This window comes from Homo sapiens, chromosome 5, assembly GCF_000001405.40.
Source record: "Homo sapiens chromosome 5, GRCh38.p14 Primary Assembly".
Taxonomy (NCBI): domain Eukaryota; kingdom Metazoa; phylum Chordata; class Mammalia; order Primates; family Hominidae; genus Homo; species Homo sapiens.
Window position 1 is genome coordinate 152,115,447 of NC_000005.10, and position 19,718 is coordinate 152,135,164.

General features: G+C 42.4%; 1 long non-coding RNA gene across 1 annotated transcript in view, besides 1 other annotated feature; it reads left to right on the top strand.

Moving 5' to 3' along the window:
* LINC01933 (long intergenic non-protein coding RNA 1933) overlaps positions 1–19,718 on the top strand; it is a 311,552-nt gene that overhangs the window by 156,549 nt on the left and 135,285 nt on the right. The gene's annotated exons all lie outside the window — the stretch shown is intronic.
* Positions 8,893–9,452: an enhancer, noted in NCBI's record as "H3K4me1 hESC enhancer chr5:151503900-151504459 (GRCh37/hg19 assembly coordinates)". NCBI's record gives its function as "activates a minimal SCP1, AML or CMV promoter by ChIP-STARR-seq in naive H9 embryonic stem cells {active_cell/tissue: H9 hESC(naive)}" and the evidence as "EXISTENCE:reporter gene assay evidence [ECO:0000049][PMID:30033119]".

The following is a 19,718-nucleotide window of genomic DNA, read 5'->3' on the forward strand; positions in this document are numbered from 1 at the left end:
ATAAATTTGCCCATTTATTGGGGAAATGGATATACACATGAAATAATAATATGATAGTATCATATAAGACAAATGTAAAATTCAGTCACCTCACAGCCCTTCTTCCCCACTGCCATCTCAGGACTGTGTAACAAAAGTCCTAGCATCTGACTTTTGTTGAATACTTCTCATTGGTCAGATTCTTTGATATTGCTTTATACATGCATGATCTCATATGACCCTCAAGGCAACCCATATGGGATAGGTGCTATGAGGCAGGTACTGAAAACTAAGGTTTTTTGAGGTAAGTAACTTGCCTCACTACATACTTATTATAGGTTAGCTGGTATAGGAATCCAGATCTATGGGATTCTTAACTTGGTGCCAGGCACTAGTCCTGGCTCTGCCTGCAGGGTTTTCAGACACAAGCCCTGCCCCCTCTGTGGGCCACATTTCCTCATCAATAAAACACATGAAACTAGATGAGCTTAAAGGTAGTTTCTGGCTTCAAGAATGCTCAGAACTCTGAACACAGAATTCCCCTAAGAACTGGTAAAAGATAACTAAAAATAAAAGATAAAATCCTGATTTTTCACATTGGCTTTTGATGCTATTAACCTTTAATGTTCCTTACCTGAAGGGGTTAGTTCTTTCCTTACTGAAGGAACATTAATCAGAATTAGATAATGAACAAACCACCTGGAGTCTTTCTCTGTCTGGTTCAAATCATGGTGGAACATGCCTGTTATCCCAGCTACTCAGGAGGCTGAGGTAGGAGAATTGCTTGAACCCGGGAGGTGGAGGTTGCAGTGAGCCGAGATTGCGCCATTGCACTGCAGCCTGGGCAACAAGAGCAAAACTCCATCTCAAAAAAAAAAGAGTCAAGGAAGAAAAAATCCTAGGAGAAAATGGTGAATTCAGATTCTGTTATTCTAATCTTGCATACTTGACCATTATTTCCTTTGCAATTCCTTATCTAGCATTGGAGAACATCAGTAATGTTGATGGGAAGGCCTATGCAACTGATGGTGAATAAAAATCAATTTTGAATTTAAAAAATAGAAGAAAAAAATCATGATTCTCATACAGATATAGAAACGAACATGTGTTCAGGATTTTATTTAACTCCTTTAATGAGAAAATGGGTTGTGTGATAATACAACCAGTTAAAAGAGAATCCACAGAACAGGTACATCTATAGATCATGAATATTGAAATGAATTTGCAAATAGAGATAAAGTAATTTTTTTCCATGGGAGAAGGGAAAAGGTTGTTCCTCCACTGTACAGAATTTATTTGCATGTCTATAGACAATAATTATTTTGCATTGCTATCAGTTAGCAAACAGCTTACATATTTGTGAAATAGTTCCCAAAGTCAGAATCAGCTAAGGTGAAAGGGTGAGCTGTAGAGAATGCACAGTGCTCCACTGAAGCCAGCTTTTTCCCTGCAGTAAGTCTTATAGTCCAGTTAGTCTGACCCTATTTCCTGCACAGGTCTTGGGTTTCTGCCTCTGTCAAATATGTGCTGTCCTCTTCTCTCTGCTATTTCAGACATCTATTTCCTTTGGGTTTGACTTATGGTTTGCTGCTTCCAGAAAGTCTTCATTGATCCTAATCTCTTTAATTGGGCGTAGAAAAGCAGGTTGGAGAAGTGACTGGATTGGGAGATCTCATATCAGGAAGCTTTTCCAGGGCGTAGCTCTCATGGTGGCTCAACCGCCAACTGGTTAAGTAGCCCCAGGCAAGTCACTTGACTTTGAGTCCATCTGGAATTTCCTAGAACTCCCTACATAGACTGAATGGTTCTTGAGAGCTAAGGAAAGTTTTGTCCTCTCCCTCTTTCAGAGGGACATTTGGGAGGCCACATGATAAAGTTGAAGTGTCCTGGGTTTAGTGATAAAATTTTTTTTAACTTAATTTAATTTTAAATTCTGGGATACATGTGCAGGATGTGCAGGTTTGTTGCATAGGTAAATATGTGTCATGGTTGTTTGCTGCACCTGTCAACCCATCACCTAGGCATTAAGCCCTGAATGCGTTACCTATTTATCCTGATGCTCTACCTCTCCCTGCCCCTCAAATAGGCCCCAGGGTGTGTTGTTCCTCTCCCTGTGTCCACGTGTTCTCATTATTCAGCTCCCACTTAAAAGTGAGAATGTGTGGTGTTTGGTTTTCTGTTCCTGTGTTAGTTTGCTGAGGAAAATGGCTTCCAATTTCATCCATGTTGATACAGGAGTTAAGAAGAAATTACTTAGCTAGATAGAGTGTGGAAGTCCTTGGTAAGGTGTTCCTTCTAATGAAGAGCGGCCCCAAATCATTTTCTAACAAAGAGCAGCCTGTAAAGTCGAGCTGCAGACATAGACAAGCAAACTGGGAGCTTGCACGGATGAATGCCAGCAGGAAAGAACTACCTTGGACTACACGCGTTCAAAACGGCAGCTCCATCTTCCCTTCTCTGCCAGCCTCGAGTATGGTAAGGAGCAGACAAGATGGTGCCAGCCAATGGGGGAGTTCATTTGCATAATATTAGGGTGGGGTGGCCAGCCTTCCCCATGCTATGTAAACGTCACACCTGATGGAGCCAATCTATGAGCCCTACGTAAATCAGACAACATCGCCTCAAGCCCGACTATAAAATGTGGTACGTCCACTGCCGGCAGGCCTTTTCCTCTTGGAAGTCCCCTCTCTCTCACTAGAGAGAGAGCTGTTTCATTTCTCTTTCTTTTGCCCATTAAACCTCCACTCCTAAACTCACGTGTGCCCGTGTCCTAAATTTTCTTGGCGCGAGATGACGAACCCCTGGTATTTACCCCAGACAATGTAGCTGCTTCAATGTCAATAGCAAAAACATGGAATCAACCCCAAATTTAATTTCTGTGTTGCATCTGTCACTAACTGTGTGACCATTGGCAAGTCCTTCAACCTTGGTTTGCTTATCTGCAGAGGGGCAACCATCACTCATGCCTGTGAGAGGCTGAAAAATAACTCCCAAAGGAAATCTACTTTAAATCTTTCGAAACTATGAAAAAGGATCTTTGCAGATGTAACTAAGTGAAGGATCTTGAGATGAGGAGAGTATCACGGATTGTGTGGGTGGGCCCTACATGCCATCACAAGTATCCTTATGAGAAAAGGGCAGAGGGCATTTGACACAGAGGAGAAGGCAATGTGAAGCCCTAGGCAGGTATTGCAGCACCACAGCCATGAGTCCAGGAACGCTGGTGGCTGCCAGACCCTAGGTGATACAAGGAACAGATTAGTCCTGGGAGTCCCCAGAGGGAGAATTGCACTGCTGAATTTCAGACTTCCAGCCTCCAGAACTGAGAGAGAATACATTTCTGTTGCTTTAAGGTACTGAGTTTATGGTAATATATGACAGCAGCTTCAGGAAATTCATATAATGTCCCACTGGCCTCCCAGGGTTGCTGTGAAGCTCAAAGAAAGAATGCAACAGTGCTTTGTAAATGGTCAATGCATGCTAGAGGTTTTGTATAAACAAACAATTGGCAAGTAGTATGTATATATTATTCATAGATTGCACATTTACAGAGAACTTTGATAAGCAATGGTAACAAATTGCATGAAAAAATAAATGAGATAATTTTTCAAGTAAAAATAATATTCAGAGCAAATATTCCCCCTTTGTCTCCTTTAGGTATTAACCTCTTGTTGTCAATATAAAGGACTGAAGCTTTTGTCTCTCCCTGGCAGCTGCCCTGCCCCCCGAGTTATGGGATAGGCTGTCTGAGGACGTATCAGTGCGGCACAGGCACTATTTGCTGTATTGAAATAGTGTTGCTACTGAGAGGAGTGACAGCAAGAATGAGCAGCTGTTGTTTTGTGGGTCCCATCTCAGAGTGAAAATTCCTGGCACAGCAGAGAGACAGTTGGAGTGGGATGAGACAGACTGCAGTAGCTGCAGTGCAGCACGGCAGGACTGAAATGCAATGTTGAGATGCTGCCTGCCAATGCCCACTGCATTCCAGAGGTGCAGACGCCAATCTGAGGCAGGTGCTGTGTCAGGAGCAGGTGGAGGGGCTCAGCTTGCCAGAACAGTGTGTCCATCCTCCCCTCCCGATACACACACAATGTCCCATCAAGGTGCTGGGTAAGGGACACGGACCCAGCTCTTCGAGTATGCCCTAATGGACCTATTCGGGCTCATCTCTTGCTCTTGTTAGTCTCAGCACTTGAGCCCAGCCACTCTACTTGTTAGCACTTCATCTTCGTTCCCCAGCCCAATTGTATGTTCCATTTTCCCTCCCCAAAATATTCCTACCTATCTGCTCTGGTAACTCACAATTATCACACCAATATTCTAGCCTTTAATTAATTACTGAACAGTGAACACCTACTTTAAGCCAGGCAGAGACACATTGCTGGGATGCATGGTAAGCAAAACAGACACAACCCCAGCCTCCATGGAGAACGTTAATGGGCAGACGGCCTTTGTGCAAACAATCACAGGAAGAACTGTGTAATTACAAACTATGATACACTATGGAGAAAGAAATATAAGGTGCTAAAGGAGACAAAAACAGAGCCGTTTTTAGGTTGGAGAGAAGTCCTCTCTGAGGTAGGAACTTTTATTTGTAGGCATGATGGATAAATATGTTTCCCTGGTGTGTGCAATTTGGGTTTGATAATGGGGGCAAGGGGTCTCTAAGAGGAATGAACAACAGTTGCAGGAGCTGACCTGTGTTTGAGGGGCAGAAAGGAGGTCATGTGGCTTCCATGGAGCAAGCAAGGGGACAAGAGGTTGCAGATGTGGGCAGAGGCCTGATTATACTGATGGTATCTTAAGCGTCTATATCTTTATTCAACGTGTGGAAGACTTCACAGAGGCATTTTAAGAAGGAGAATGACACAATCTGATTTTTTGACTGCTGGATGGAGAATGGGTTGGGAGGGCCTGAGTGAAAGCTGAGACAATTAGGAGGATATTCTGAGAGAGCCTAGTCACCATTGAGGCAACCTTTCCCTACAGATGGACTTGACTGGTGCCCCAAATTCCCCCAGTGAGTTGGTGGAAGAGCCAGGACTTGAACCCTGGTTTAATAATGTCTAGGTCAATATACTTGCCATTGCATCACACTACGCTTAAGTTTCTCTTCACATGGATAATTGATAATAATTGATGTCTCATCCTTCAGTGGAAATTAAAGACATTTTGTGGTCCTATAATAAGTATTTCATGCAGAGTGATAAAAGGAAGTTCAACAACTAGCTTTTCCATGAATTCATAACCTTACATACATGACCACTGCAGGCATGTTCACCACTGTGTTCAAGGCGGGATAATGTGATCAGAAAATTCAGGGCTGCGGAATAAGACAGACCCGGGTTCAAATACCAGATCACTGCTTATTAAACTCTGCCACCTTTAGCAAGTTACTTTACTCCCCTGAGTCTGTTTCTTCAACTAAAAGTGGGTGTATGTGTAAGAGAGTACTTTTTATCATGTTGTCTTATTAAAAGCAAATATGCATCTGGCATATAGTAAGTGCACAATAACTGTTTATCAGGATGGGAATGATGATGTTGATAGTGTTATGCTACTTAGTCAAAGACAGAGTGTATCCTTGGGGAGACAGGAAACTTCAAAACACACATCTTTTCAGAAAACAGTTACTTAAGTGTACTTTTAACGAAGCAGTTCAATAATGTATGAAGTGTCTATTGTATATAAAGATCTGTCCTAGGCATGATTCACATCCACAAGGTGTTTATAACGGGAGATAAAACAAGTCTCCAGATAACTCTAATACTGTGTAGAAGTAATGTTTCCCGGGAGAGATGCTAAGTGAAATGTGGTTTTAATAGCAGTGGTGTGCCATTCCACTGGTAGCATTCTGCAAGTCTTATGGACAAGGTGGTTCCTTAAATGGGGCTTGGAGGATGGGTAGAATTTTGTAATTTGAAAATGATACAGTTACCACTTTGGTTGTTTCCTCGGCACTATAAAAGCTATACCCGATCTCTTTAGAAAATTTAGAAAAAAAAATCAGTAAGCAAATAGAAGAAAATCAAAATCCTCTGTGATCTTACCAGAGTGATAACTCATTATCTTTGGGTTGTATAATTTTTAAAATATTTTACTATGCAAATATATACAACCATAATTATACAAATGGGGTTCTACTACTCTCTAACTTTTTTATTCAAAACATAATTAAATTTTTTTCTCCACAAAATTGTATTAGACTTTTTAATGAGTACATGATATTTATTTATTTATTTATTTTATGATTTTTTAAAATATATTTTAAGTTTTAGGGTACATGTGCACAACGTACAGGTTAGTTACATATGTATACATGTGCCATGTTGGTGTGCTGCACCCATCAACTCGTCATTTACATTAGGTGTATCTCCTAATGCTATCCCTCCCCCCTCCCCCCACCCTACAACAGGCCCCGGTGTGTGATGTTCCCCTTCCTGTGTCCATGTGTTCTCATTGTTCAATTCCCACCTATGAGTGAGAACATGCGGTTTTTGGTTTTTTGTCCTTGCGACAGTTTGCTGAGAATGATGGTTTCCAGCTTCATCCATGTCCCTGCAAAGGACATGAACTCATAATATTTAACTCCTGGAGATACCAAGCTGTGTTTAACCAAACCTCTTTATAGTTGGACATATAAGAGGTTTTGAAGTTGTTTTTTGTTTATGTTTTGCCCGTTACAAACAATATTGCCATAAACATAGTTGTAGCTAAATAATGCAGTCACACGTGACTATTTTCTTAGGCTAATTTCTTAGTAGTGAAATTCCTAGGCCAAAGGGTATGTACTTTTTATATTTTGTTTTTTCTAAGTTCTGGAAATGAATAGCAGGTGTGTGCTTTTAAAAGGCATTTTGTTTGTACTGGGATGGGCAGGTTTTTTCTTGCTCTAATTTTTATTAATAACCTCAAAACGTTAGTAATAATCCCTACCTGTTGGAGACTTACATATTTATTGCCTTAGAATTTTGGAAGCATGTTCACACACTTTCACTCATTAATCTGATCGTCACAACAATTCTGTAAGTAGGCAGGTAGACATGATTCCCCATTTTTCAGATGAGGCAAACAAGTCTCAGAGAGTGAAGTTGGCTGCTTAGGGTAACACAGCTAGTGAATGACAGAGCTGGGACTGGAGCCCGTCTGCCAGCATGGAGTGCTGTTGCTGTCTCGCATGATACCATGCTGCCTGTCTCCTGCCTCTCCAGCACGCTCAGGACCACTTTATCACTTCACGAAATTAGCATGTTGGAGATTATTAGACCTAAGATATTCGCTAGAACCTGTTTTGCCAAGTTTTATACCACTTTTCCGTAACATATTATTTATTAAAAGAAAAAAGCCTGCAACCATGGGACATTTTTCTTGGTACTCTATTACTTTCTCAGCTCATGGTTGAATAGGCTTTGAACAGGCAATGGGGAAGAGGAGACAGTATTTCAAACAGTAGGAATAAAGTTGTGTAGGCAGAAATTAGGACAAAGGCTTCAAACTGTCTACTGTCTGGCTAGCTTTGGCTCACAGAAATATGTTGTTTAGCCTATAATATGTTTAAAAAATTATGAACCAGTTATCTACATTTGATGATAGGATATTTCATGTAGATTTCTGCATTGCTGGGTTCTTTTCATTCAGAAGCTCTGGTAGCCTTAAGCTGCCTTCAAGCTGAGCCATGATTAACTGGAGCTGGGCAGCTTCCACCCTCTTTAGAGCGGGCAGAAACATTCCAGTTTGCCTTCCAGCCTCATTGATCCCTGTTGTTTTCTGAGGGTCAATAGTCATTAGAAGTATGCCTGGTATACTGTTTTACTTACACCTAGCTGGCTGCAGGCCATCACGTTGCTGGCTGGGCCTTTCGGGCATCGAGTGTACAAGCCCTTGCCTTCAACATATGCATGGAATGGTTTTCCATTTTGATTGGAGCCTAGAGAACATGCAGCAGAGTAGTGGGAAAGAAAACTGGACAGGCATTGGAACTTTATTTTGTAGACACAAGGAAGCCACTGAGGGACCTGGCACTCTTAACTAACGTTTTAGTGCCCTGTCCTAGAGCAGCTGCCTCCTGTTCATTTCAGTGTTCTCTCCTTTTGCTATGTTTTCTCTTTGTCATCTCTGCTCCCAGTGGGGAGTGTTTTCAAAAGACTAGGCAGATGTTTACATCTCCTTTTTAATGAAGGCACTGTGGCTCTTCCCTCCCTCTGAGGACATCTTGTAACTTGCTCTCCTGTTGTAAGAAGAGAACCCTTGTTTCTTCCGAGGGTCTACCTCCCTGGGTGGAAAGGAGGGCAAACAGACCAGGAAGAGTTTTCTACACTATTAGCTAGTTGATTCTTTAGGACACAGGAAGGAGAAGAAAGGGTTTCATCAGCGTTACCAAGTGGTTTCCAGTTGATCGATTTGTGTGGTGATCAGGTTGTGGGAAGTGTTTGCTTTTTCCTAGGTGAGGCAATTATCCTTTCCATATCTGTAAGATTAGAGCCACCCCCTCCCATGTCCACATCACAGGGCCAATTGGAGGACTGAGTGGGAGAATATATAAGAAAAGTGCCAAGTGTTACATAAACACTAGCATTCTTTCCATCAAGAGGAGAAAATTGTTTTTGTGGGAGAAAATGGGTCCTGGCCAAGCATTTTTGCAGGGTGATGAGCATAAACTCAACACTAAGTGGAGTAGATAGTTCAAGGTGCCGAGATAAGTCAAGCCAATGATTTCAAGGGGTTGGGAAAACCTCACAGGGCAACATGTCCTTGCCAGCTCACTTGAACCTACTTCAAATCCAAATATTAAACTTTTTTTCTGACTACGAGGGTGGTCTTGGTTAAACTGCCAACCTATAATAAAGTGCCTGAAATCATAGTCTCTGGCCAATGGCTTCACCTTTGAGTCACATTCTTTTTCTAGCTATGTGATATTTAGGCCCCAGTTGTCTGATTTGCAAAACAATCATCTGAGCAATGGTATCTGCATCATAAATTTGTTGTAAGAATTAAATAAGGTAGTGTAGACAAAGCCCTTAGCAAAATGCAAGGCCTATCCTAAGTGTTGAATAAAACCAGCTATTCTGAATAGTTCTTAGCTGCTGTGGCTGAGTGATGTGGGAGGGTCTGCATGCAGGCCTGCTGAGGAGCAGCTCCACAGAAGCAGCAGCCCCAGCCTGGGAGAGAGCATGAACTGAGGAGGCCATGGCAGTCTAACAAAGGACACAGCATTGGGAGATGGAATGTAGGGAATTCAAATGTCCCCATCTCCATGGTGTTGTCCTGGAAACCTTGTAAAGGTGACAGATCATTGCAGTTTCACCCTCCTTCTCCCATCTCAGCAGGTGGGACCACCCTCGGTGGTGAGGAGGAGAGAAAGGTAATCAGGTTCCGCTCTGGATGGGCAGCCCTCTCCAGGGAGCCTGTGACGAGCTCTGCGGCAGCCTGGTAAAGAGCCGATGCGGGAGGCAGGCTGGGCGGGTGCATCGTGCAGAACTGGTTACGGGTTATGGCAGGCGTGGGTGTTTTATGGCTGTGGCAGTGGCACAGGCTTGCTAGTGGCTGTTTGTGAGAAGCATTATTGCGTGCCTTTTTATTACTTGCATCGAAGATGTTCTTTCTACAGAGCTTGTCCCTTTGTCCAAAGTCTCTCTCCCTTCTTTCCTGTTCTATCAGAAACATGCATTGTGTAGAAGCACAGAAACTACCAAAATCACATCACACACACACTACAAATCTGTGCACACATATAACCTGGTGGCCCACGTCCCTCTGTATGCCAAGAATCCCCACACATAAGGGAACAGGGGAGCCGGTCCTTGTGGGGCATGGGGAAGGCCCCACACCACTTAGCTTCTCCCTGACCTTTGGTTTCTTCCCTCTTCTGTTCTTTCAAAGATCTGTTAAAGATGCAAATACAGAAATTAACAGTCAGCATTACTGCCCAAACTATCAATCCACACATATTTAGTCTGTGTCTACAAATACAAGGCTCAGCCTGCTTGTCACCAAGAGCCACACAGGTTTCCAGCATAACTGGAGAAGTGGAACCCACCCAGGGCCTGGAAAGGGGATATGCTACACAGGAGTCTTGGTCTTTCTCCTGCCACTTCCTCAGCTGTGTGACCTTCTCTGTCCCTTCCCCTTTCTGGCTTTTTGTTTGCCTGTTTAAGCAATAAAGATTTCATACCAGGTGATCTCTGTGTTCCCATTTAGCCCCAACATTCTGTGATTCTGTTGAATCTGTCATCTTGGTTTCCCCACAGCCCTCCACTCTTTCTTTAGAATGAAGCATTATTGGTAAAAAGCCCATATTGCAATGCCTTTCATGTGCACCTGCTAATGCAGTGTCCCCAGCCCCCGGCAAGGCCCTTTAAGCTATTTCAGGGGGTCCCGAGGGAGAGTCCCATATGTACTAACAAATAAATCTGGTCAGCTATTACCTGGCATCTGCCATTTCTCCCTTCTGGTTGCCCTCTATGATGCTCAGAGCAATGCTCTGCTGTGTTCATTGGCTGGCAGATGTTGCTTCACCAGATCCTTCAGTGCCCAGAGGCAAGCCACCTCCTGCCAGGCCCTGCTACTTCCTCAGACCTCCATGGCCTCCAAGGGAGGGAGCTCAGTGACGTCACAGCGCCCCTCTGCTCCACTCCCACCCCCGCCCCTGGTGCCTTCGGACTCCAAGGCTACTCCAGGAAATCAGTTTCCACTTCTGTCAATTACTGATTCTTTTGCCACTGTGTGAGGGCTCTAGGGGTAAAGTAGGGGAGAATGCACCCGTTTTTCTTTAGTTCCCCACTGGAATGTGCACAGCTTTGCCTTCCAGTGGCTTATAGAATTCTCAGTGAGAATTCTTTCCGTGTTGGTTTACTTTCAAGACATAAACCCACCAGAAGCTGGGATGAGGAAAAACTGGAGTGTAAGAAATGCCCTGGATTCAGAATTACTCTGCCTTCCAATAATAAAGGATTTGGTTAAGGGATAATATAGAATTGGAAAGTTTGCTGTATAGAATTTTCTTAGGGGATACAGGAATGTTTACATTGCATTCTGATCCATATTCTTTATGCCTTGTGTCTCCTAAGGGACTTACAGTTACGAGAGACTGTGCTAAATAGAAAACAGGCATCATTTTACTCCAGTGCAGAACACTAGCAAACTGAGAGTACACAGCATGAGCCTGAGATCTAAAGGGAATTTTTCTCCCTCCTGTTCCGAACCTGCATCTTGAGATCTGACTGCCTGCGTGGGTCAGGAGAGTGAAGCGATACACCTCACTTTGAGCATCTAGCCTAGTACCTGGCATGTAGGAGATAGATAATTTGGTACATGTTGGTTCATCGAGTGAGGAACTAAATAAAGGAAAGAAGAGTGGGCAAGACAGAGAGAGCTAGGCTCAAAAGACAGGCCACATCTGTCACATTGGCAGATAAGTGAGAACCTCTGGTTCTTTTCTCCCAGACAGTCATTATTCCAAACGTTCCATTATAATTGATTTTGTTTTAGCATATACACACATAGCGTGTTTCTTCATTCGCTGATGGTAATAGTGAGAATGTATATTCTTTGCTTCTCCTGGAAATGTGTATAAGTAAGCCTAAGATTAAGAGCTGTGCTAATGATTTTAGTAAATGGCGTCACCTACCCACAAATCCTGTAAGCTTGTCTTGTATAACTGATGCTTCTGTGCCTTTTAAGCTTAGGGATAAAATGGGTAGAAGACACAGGAAGACAAAATTCCATTCAAAGAATGAAGTAAATTTTTTTTTTTTTTGAGATGGAGTCTCACTGTGTCGCCCAGGCTGGAGTGCAGTGGCTCGATCTCGGCTCACTGCAAGCTCTGCTTCCCAGGTTCATGCCATTCTCCTGCCTCAGCCTCCCGAGTAGCTGAGGCTACAGGGGCCCGCCACCATGCCTGGCTAACTTTTTTTGTATTTTTAACAGAGATGGGGTTTCACCATGTTAGCCAGGATGGTCTTGATCTCCTGACCTTATGATCCACCTGCCTCAGCCTCCCAAAGTGCTGGGATTATAGGCGTGAGCCACTGCGTCCGGCCTAAACATAAAGTAAATTTTGAGTTAAGGTAGGTGATCTTTGGGGGTAGTGTTACTCCTTACTGGAAGTATTCAATCAGAGACTGCATGACTACTTGTTTAGAAGGTTATATGAGAGATTCAAACACCAGAAGGGCAATAAATTGGCTCTAAAATCCTCTCTAAGTGTAGGAGTCCATATTTGTTTGGAAATTTTTTTAACACTAGTTTTACTATAAGTTCATAAGGAGACATCACCCAACCCAAGGATTAGACTTCCTTTGTAAGCTTGACACAGAGATGAGTAGGATGAATAAACTGTTCATGGCTAGGAGGCCATCTAATATCATCACTCATACTGTCAAAAATGGGGCTAAAGGATTTTAGAACATTGGGTCCAGCTTACAATCCCAGTCCAAGTGTACTTTTTCATGTCAACTGTCCAATCTGGAGATCCTCTTTCTCTCTTAACGACCTCTTCACTGATGACCTTATCAGTAAGATTGACTTTCTTCACACTACACTGTAAGGATCACAATAAGAGAGACTATGTCTGTGATGTATATGGGTGCATCCTGAGCACCTAGCATAGTGTCTGTCATGTAGTAGATAGATAATGAGTTCGTACTGGTTGATTTAATACCAAACCTTTCCATTTAAGTCACAGTGTACTGAATACCATAAATTCAAAGACAGAAGTCTATGGGCCAGTCCAGAGATAGAAAAAATACTTCTGACTGCATCTTAGTCCTTGATCTAGAGTGTCAACAGCATCTTAAGACTGCTTAAGGACCCAGTTAAAGAGAAGTGTAGGCCTATTCCTGAATAGCGGCTGAATCTGCTTAAGTCAAGGGTCCTATTTTATATATCAGTGCATTTGGGTGGGTGTGGCTGGCTGGCGAAGAGCTAATATTTTCAAGTGATGTTCACTGGAGAATATTAATGGGAGAGAAACTAGTTACTGTGAAGTTGTTATCTAAGGAGGGTAGAGGACTGTGTAGATGAGGCTAAGTTAGAGCGTTCAGTCTTCATTACGAATCTCTTAGGAACAACTTCTTTCATAGCTAAGCATGATTGCCATAAACTGGGATAGTTCTTTTGCAAATGTGTGCCTTTGATTTCAAAGAGATGGGCTCAGAGAGTAGCAGTGATTGCATGTACTCCATCTATGCGAGTGGAGATAATCTGGAATATAATGCGGTGAGTATTTCTAGGGGTTTGTGATCTTCCTTGGATCCTCCATGCAGCTTGGCCATCCTTCCACGGGTTCCAAGTCACATCCCTTCTCCATTTTTCCTCCCTGGCTCTTACCCAATTTTACCCCTTTCTGAAAATGCCCAGTTTTGTCATTTTTTTTTTCTAACACGGATGAACTTTACTACTTCACTGAAAAGATGGATCATCATTATCATTCTTGCCACACCAACTGCCTCTTGTGATATCTGCAAGCATATCTCCTATCTCTTTTCCTCCTTTCTCCCTATATCAGAGAGAGAGGTGGGGAGAGAGAGAGGGAGAGAGAGAGATTCATTCTGCTGGCCAAGGGTCATCTCTTTGCCCATCTTTGTATCCCATCTTCTATCACTCCCTTGTGAATCTTGTTTTGCCAGTCATTTACTTTGTGGCCTTTTCCTCAATTGCCACCTCTATCACACTTGTTCTTTCTTCTCAGTGTATAAATATAACCAGTACCAGATTCCCCACAAGCTATAGTTTGATTTCTTTCCTCCTCTTAATAGTCAGTTTTCTTCAAAGGCATACACTAGTTTTCAGCATTTTTACTACAGCCTGTTTGTCGGAACCCATTTAGTCACCCACCAATACGATGTCCTCTCCTCCCCGACACATTGCAATTGCTCCTTCTACCTGGTAATAAACTCTGTGTTTTCAAGTCCTGTGGATATTTCCTGTGCTATTCCTTCTCAAACTCTTTGTGACATTTGGCATCGACCATCTCTTTTGATTGCTGTGGCACGACTGTCTGCTGGTTTTCCTCCCCTCTGCCTGACAGTGTTTCTCAACCAGGGATCCTCACCTGGGACACATAACACAGAAAATAGTTTGAGTGATGTTATTGTCTCAATTCTCCTATGGAAGGTACATAACTAGTACCCTTCTGGGAGAGAAGTTAAACCATTACATACAGCGGATGCCTCAGGGCATTTGAGTTTCTCTCTCTCAGTGCTTGAGAAAAGCGTGACACCATCTCTGCTTTCTTCCAGGATTTCTTTCTTTTTCTTTCCTTCCTTACTCTAATTTCTCATTCTTCTAATCCTAAACATTCTCTCTGGGTGGACACTTCTAAGCCTGTGGCAGGAACTACCAATTATAATCTTGTGATTCTGAAAACACTCTTAAGCCAGACCTCTGTGCTAAATGCCATACCCTTGTACCTGTTTGCCTCCCTGACAGCTCTCCTTGTATAGCTCACAACTAACTCAAATGCAATATGTCCAAAATAAACTCACCATCTTCCCCATAGACTTTCTCGTTCTCCTAAATGGTATCATCATTCACCCAGACACCCAAGCCAGATCTGGGAGGTGTTTAAGATTCTATTTTCTCATATATCCTTCCCTAATATAATTATTTACTAAATTGCTTCCATATTTACTTTCTTGGTGTCTGATTACTAATTTTTTATCATTAATTTAATTCAGGCCCTCAATCTCTAGATTTCAACCAGGTAGAAGCTTCCCAAGGGTCTCCTTATTTCAAAGTACACTACTTCCCTCCCACCACAATAACCACAGAACAATTAATCTAATATTCAAATGGGATTATGCCTCTCCCCACTTCAACGTTTTCAAGTTCTCCCTCCATGTCTACAATAGCTTTTATCTACTACAATGCATTTTGAACTGCTATTTGGTGGATAGGGTCCTCCATGATTGGTCTTTGGTCACCTCTGGCCTCATAGCTTTCTTACACACCATGTATTCTAATGATTTTCATATGCTTACCCATTGTTTACTCTTGCCCTGCGATGCCTGTCCCCTCTTTGCTACCTTAAGCGCCTGCTCCCCATATCCAGTTGAAATCCTTTTCCTCTAAATTTGCTCCCTACTCAGTTACACACTAATCAAGGCACACGCCACACAGTAGTTGCTGATTTACTTACTGGTCTCTTCAATTAGACTGTGAACTTATTAGGGGCAGAGGCAATGCTTAGTTGATTTCTTCCTCTATAACTAGTGTTCAGATACAAAGAAGGCACTAAATAGATGCTTATTTAATGAGCAATAAATCTGAAATATAATTTTCAAAGGTAGAAGAATAGATTAATTGTTTTAACTAATGGCAAAGAGAGGAGTCCTGGATTTAGAATCAGATATTTGAGATCCCATCCCAACCTACTGTTAACCAGTGATCTGTCACTGGGTAGATCACTTAACTTATTTTAGCCTCTGTCTTAGTCTGTTTGTGCTGCTATAACAGAATACCTGAGACTTGGTAATGTGTAAAGAACAGAAATTTATTTTCACACACTTGTAAAGGCTGTGAAGTCTAAGATCAAGGGGCTGGCAGGTTCTGTTGTCTGATGAGGGTCTGGTTTCTGCTGCCAAGATGGCACCTTGAATGGTGCATCTTCCAGTGGGGAGGAACACTGTGTCCTCACATGGCAAAAAAGTGGAGGGGCAAAAAGGGGCCAAACTCTGTCAAGCTTTTTCATTTTATTTTTAAATCATTTTTCAAGCCCCAAATCAAATGCATTTTTAAAATGAAACATATACAAAATACTAGTTTTAATGTTGACAATAAAATGATATAATTAATCCTCCACCTTAAGGCATCTCTTTGTCAAGACCACAAGTCTCCACTCCATCAAGCCCTTTTATAATGACATTAGTCTATTAATGAGGGCTCTGCCTTTCAATACTATTGCATTGGGGATTAAGTTTTCAGTACATGAATTTTGGAGGACACATGCAGACGATAGCATTCCATCCTCGGCCCCCAAAATTCATGCCCTTCTCACATGCAAAATACATTTATTTCATCCCAATAGCTCCTCAAAGTCTTAACTTGTTCTAGCATCAACTTTAAAGTCTTAAGTCCGGAGTCTCATCTAAATCAGATATGGATGAGACTAAAGGCAAATTTCATACTGAGGCAAATTTCCCTCTAGCTGTGAGCCTGTGAAATCAAACAAGTTATGTCCTTCCAAAATACAATGGTGGGACAGAGGAAAGAAGAAGGGGGTAACAGGTTTCAAGTAAGTCCAAACTCAGCAGGGCAGACATTAAATCTTAAGGCTGATTTTTTTTTTTTTTTTTTTTTTTTTTTTGAGATGGAGTCTTGCTCTGTTGCCAGGCTGGAGTGCAGTGGCGTGATCTCGGCTCATTGCAACCTCTGCTTCCCAGGTTCAAGCGATTCTCCTGCCTCAGCCTCCTTAGTAGCTGGGACTACAGGCATGCACCATGCATGCCCAGCTAATTTTTATATTTTTAGTAGAGACAAGCTTTCACCATGTTGGCCAGGATGGTCTCGATTTCTTGACCTTGTGATCTGCCTGTCTCGGCCTCCCAAAGTGCTGGGATTACAGGCATGAGCCACCATGCCTGGCCGGCTAGAATCTTAAGAATCATCTTCTTTGATTCTACATTCTACCTCCTGGACAGACTGGAGTTGGGTTAGGCCTCCTAAACCTTTGGCAGCTCTGCCCAGTGGGATTTCCTGGGCGCAGCCCAAACTTCAGCATGTACACACTGAAATTGCATCCCTGCAGTTGTCCCAGCTGGTGCTACACAGTGGTGGCTCTACAGAGGTCTCAAGGGTGACCCTGCCTCCATGGCTCCACTAAGCATTGACCTAGTGGGGGCTCTCTGTGGTGGCTCCAATTCCATAGTTCTGCTGGGCATTGCCCTAGTGAGGGCTCTCTGCTGTGACTTCTTCCCTGCAGCAGATCTCTGCCTGGGACCTAAGGCTCTCTGAGGCATCCTTTGAAATCTAGGTGGAGGGAGCCATGCCTCCACAGCCCCTGCACTCTGCTTGACTGTAGAATTAGTATATGTGATGCCACTGAGGCTCAGTACTTATGCTCTCCAGAGCAGCATTCTGAGCTGCACCTGGGCCCACTTGAGCCACAGCTGGGGTGGCTGAGGTGGGCTGCTCTGGAATGTGAGGAGCACAGACCTCAGTCAGTCCTGGGAAGTGAGTTCCAAAATCCCACAGGTACCCCGGACCTCTTCCCCAAAACAATTCTGGCCCCAAGTCCCTGGCATTCTGGGCCTGTGATGCACAGAACAGCCTTCAAGATCTCTGAAATGCCTTTAGGATTATTTTCCCATTGTCTTGGTGAATAACACCTGGCTTTCATGCTAATCTTATTATTAAACTGCCACTTGGCCACATCCTTGTTTTTTTTCCCCTTAATATGTAATATGCTTTATTATTCTTTACATGGTCAGATGGAAAAAATTTCAAATGTTTACATTCTGCTTCCCTTTTGATAATAAATTCAATTTTTAAATCATTTCTCTCTTCTCACAATTTACTATAAGCATTTAAGAGAAGCTACACAGAACCCCGAATGCTTTGCTGCTTAAAGATTTCTTCTGCCAAATATTCTAGTTAACTTTCTTGAGTTCTGCCTTCCACAAGGCCCTAGGACAGGGACATAATTCAGCCAAGTTCTTCGCCACTTTGTAACAAGGATGGGCTTTCCTCCAGTTTTCAATACCTTGTTCCTCATTTTCCCTCTGAGACTTGCATCAGAATAGTCCTTACTGTCACGACCTCCTAAATAAGATCTAACAAGGTGCAGACTTTCCGTAGTCTTCTCTTATTCTGAGCCCTCACTAGACTCACACTTAATGCTCTGTTCATGGCAATACAAGATCTTTCCAGAATCCACTTCAAAAGCATTCCAGCCACTGCCCATTAACAAGTTCCAAATCCACTTCCACATTTTTAGATCTTTATTATAACAACACCCCCACTGCTCTGGTACCAACTTCTGTCTTATTTCATTTGTGTTACTACAACAGAACACCTGAGACTGGGTAATTTATTAAGAACAGAAATTTATTTTCTGATGGTTTTAGAGCCTAGAAGTTCCAAGATCAAGGTCTTGGCAGGTTCAAGAATCTGAGGAGGGTTCAGTCTCTGCTTCCAAGATGGTGCTTTGAATGCTGAGTTCACACATGACAGAAGGAAAAAGGACAAAAAGGAGCCAGTGTCCCTCTGCCATGACCTTTTATAATGGTATTAACCTCTCATGACCCAAACACCTCCCAAAAGGCCCCACTTCACAGACATGAAAGCATTGGATTAACTTTTCCATGCATATTTTGGGGGACACATTCAGCCCACAGCAGTCTCACTTTCCTCATCAATAAAGTGGGGAAAGTATAAAGTACCTTATGGGTCCCAAAGGGCAGATTATGAAAGATCACGTGAAATCTCATGAGAATCAAGAATATGAAAGGGCTGCAGAGATGGAAGACATTTTTACTATTTTGTATAGAAAAAAAGAGCTGAGAGGAAAGATAAAACCTCTGTGTTCAAGTTTTCTACATCTTGATGTACTGTTTAAAACCACATCTGTGGCTTTTGTGCTCTGGAATTAAAGAATAATCAAGCTAAGTATCTTGTGAGGTCATAGCATATGAGATTATGCTGTTATTCTCCAGCAATCATGACAGAGGAAGAGTTGATATCCATTTATATATTATAAATTGGTTCACTTTTTCCATTAATTTTTCTTGAGAAACTGTATGGAATCAGACACTGAACTCAGTACTATGAGGAATATGGAGAAGAAATGGACAGGAATCATGTCTTCAAGAAGGTTTCAGTTTAGGAAGAAGCTAATACATGCCACTTTCTACTTTGCTTTGTAAATATTTATAATGAGTCACAGATAAAAGGCTAACAGAGGGATTCTGGGAGGACTTCAGGGAGGAGATGATATTGGCCTTAAGAGATGGACAGGAGGTGGATATGTAGGGTGGGCAATGGGGAAAGAGAGCCTGCAAATGGCATCAACTCTACTTGTAGAAATTCAGGAGTAGGTCAGATTTGCCCAAGTAAAGGTAGAGAGGCATGTGAAGAATAAATAGGAATGGTAAGTAGAATCATTTAGCGCAATAAAATGGTGCAATAGAGGATGTGATCTCATAGTTCTCAGTTGTCAGAATTTTCTTCATTAAGGAGGGAGAGATTTGTTAACACCTAAGAGGGGATCTCAATATTGGCTCTCCAACTTCCGCTAGTGTCATTCTGAATGCTTCCTACTTGACCTGACCTTCAATTTCATAACCCCTATTGTAATATTGTGAAGTAAATTTAATAAACTTACCTTACCTCTCAGGGGTGTCATGGAGTATAAATGACTACATCCTAAGCAAAGCATTAATTGGGTTTTTCAGGTAAAGGTGCTCAGTAAGTAAAAATGCTAATGCTGTTATGAGTTTCCTTCCTTCTCTGTCATCCTGGGAAGCAGAAATGATGTTTACACAGCCATGCAAAACCATCTTCTTCAGCACTCTAACCTTATGGGAGGATAAAAATATGTGTAGTAATAAAAATCAAGCTGCGTTTGAAGCACTGAGAGGGAGGGCTTGTCCACTGGATGGTTCCCTGGGGTAGGCAACTTGTAAACCCTATTTTAATCTTCATCAACAGAAGACATGATCCTATAAAGGAACATTCTTAAGAAGTGGAAACGTATTTGTTCTTGCAAATTGACAACATCACGGATCCGATTATAGTGCTAATTT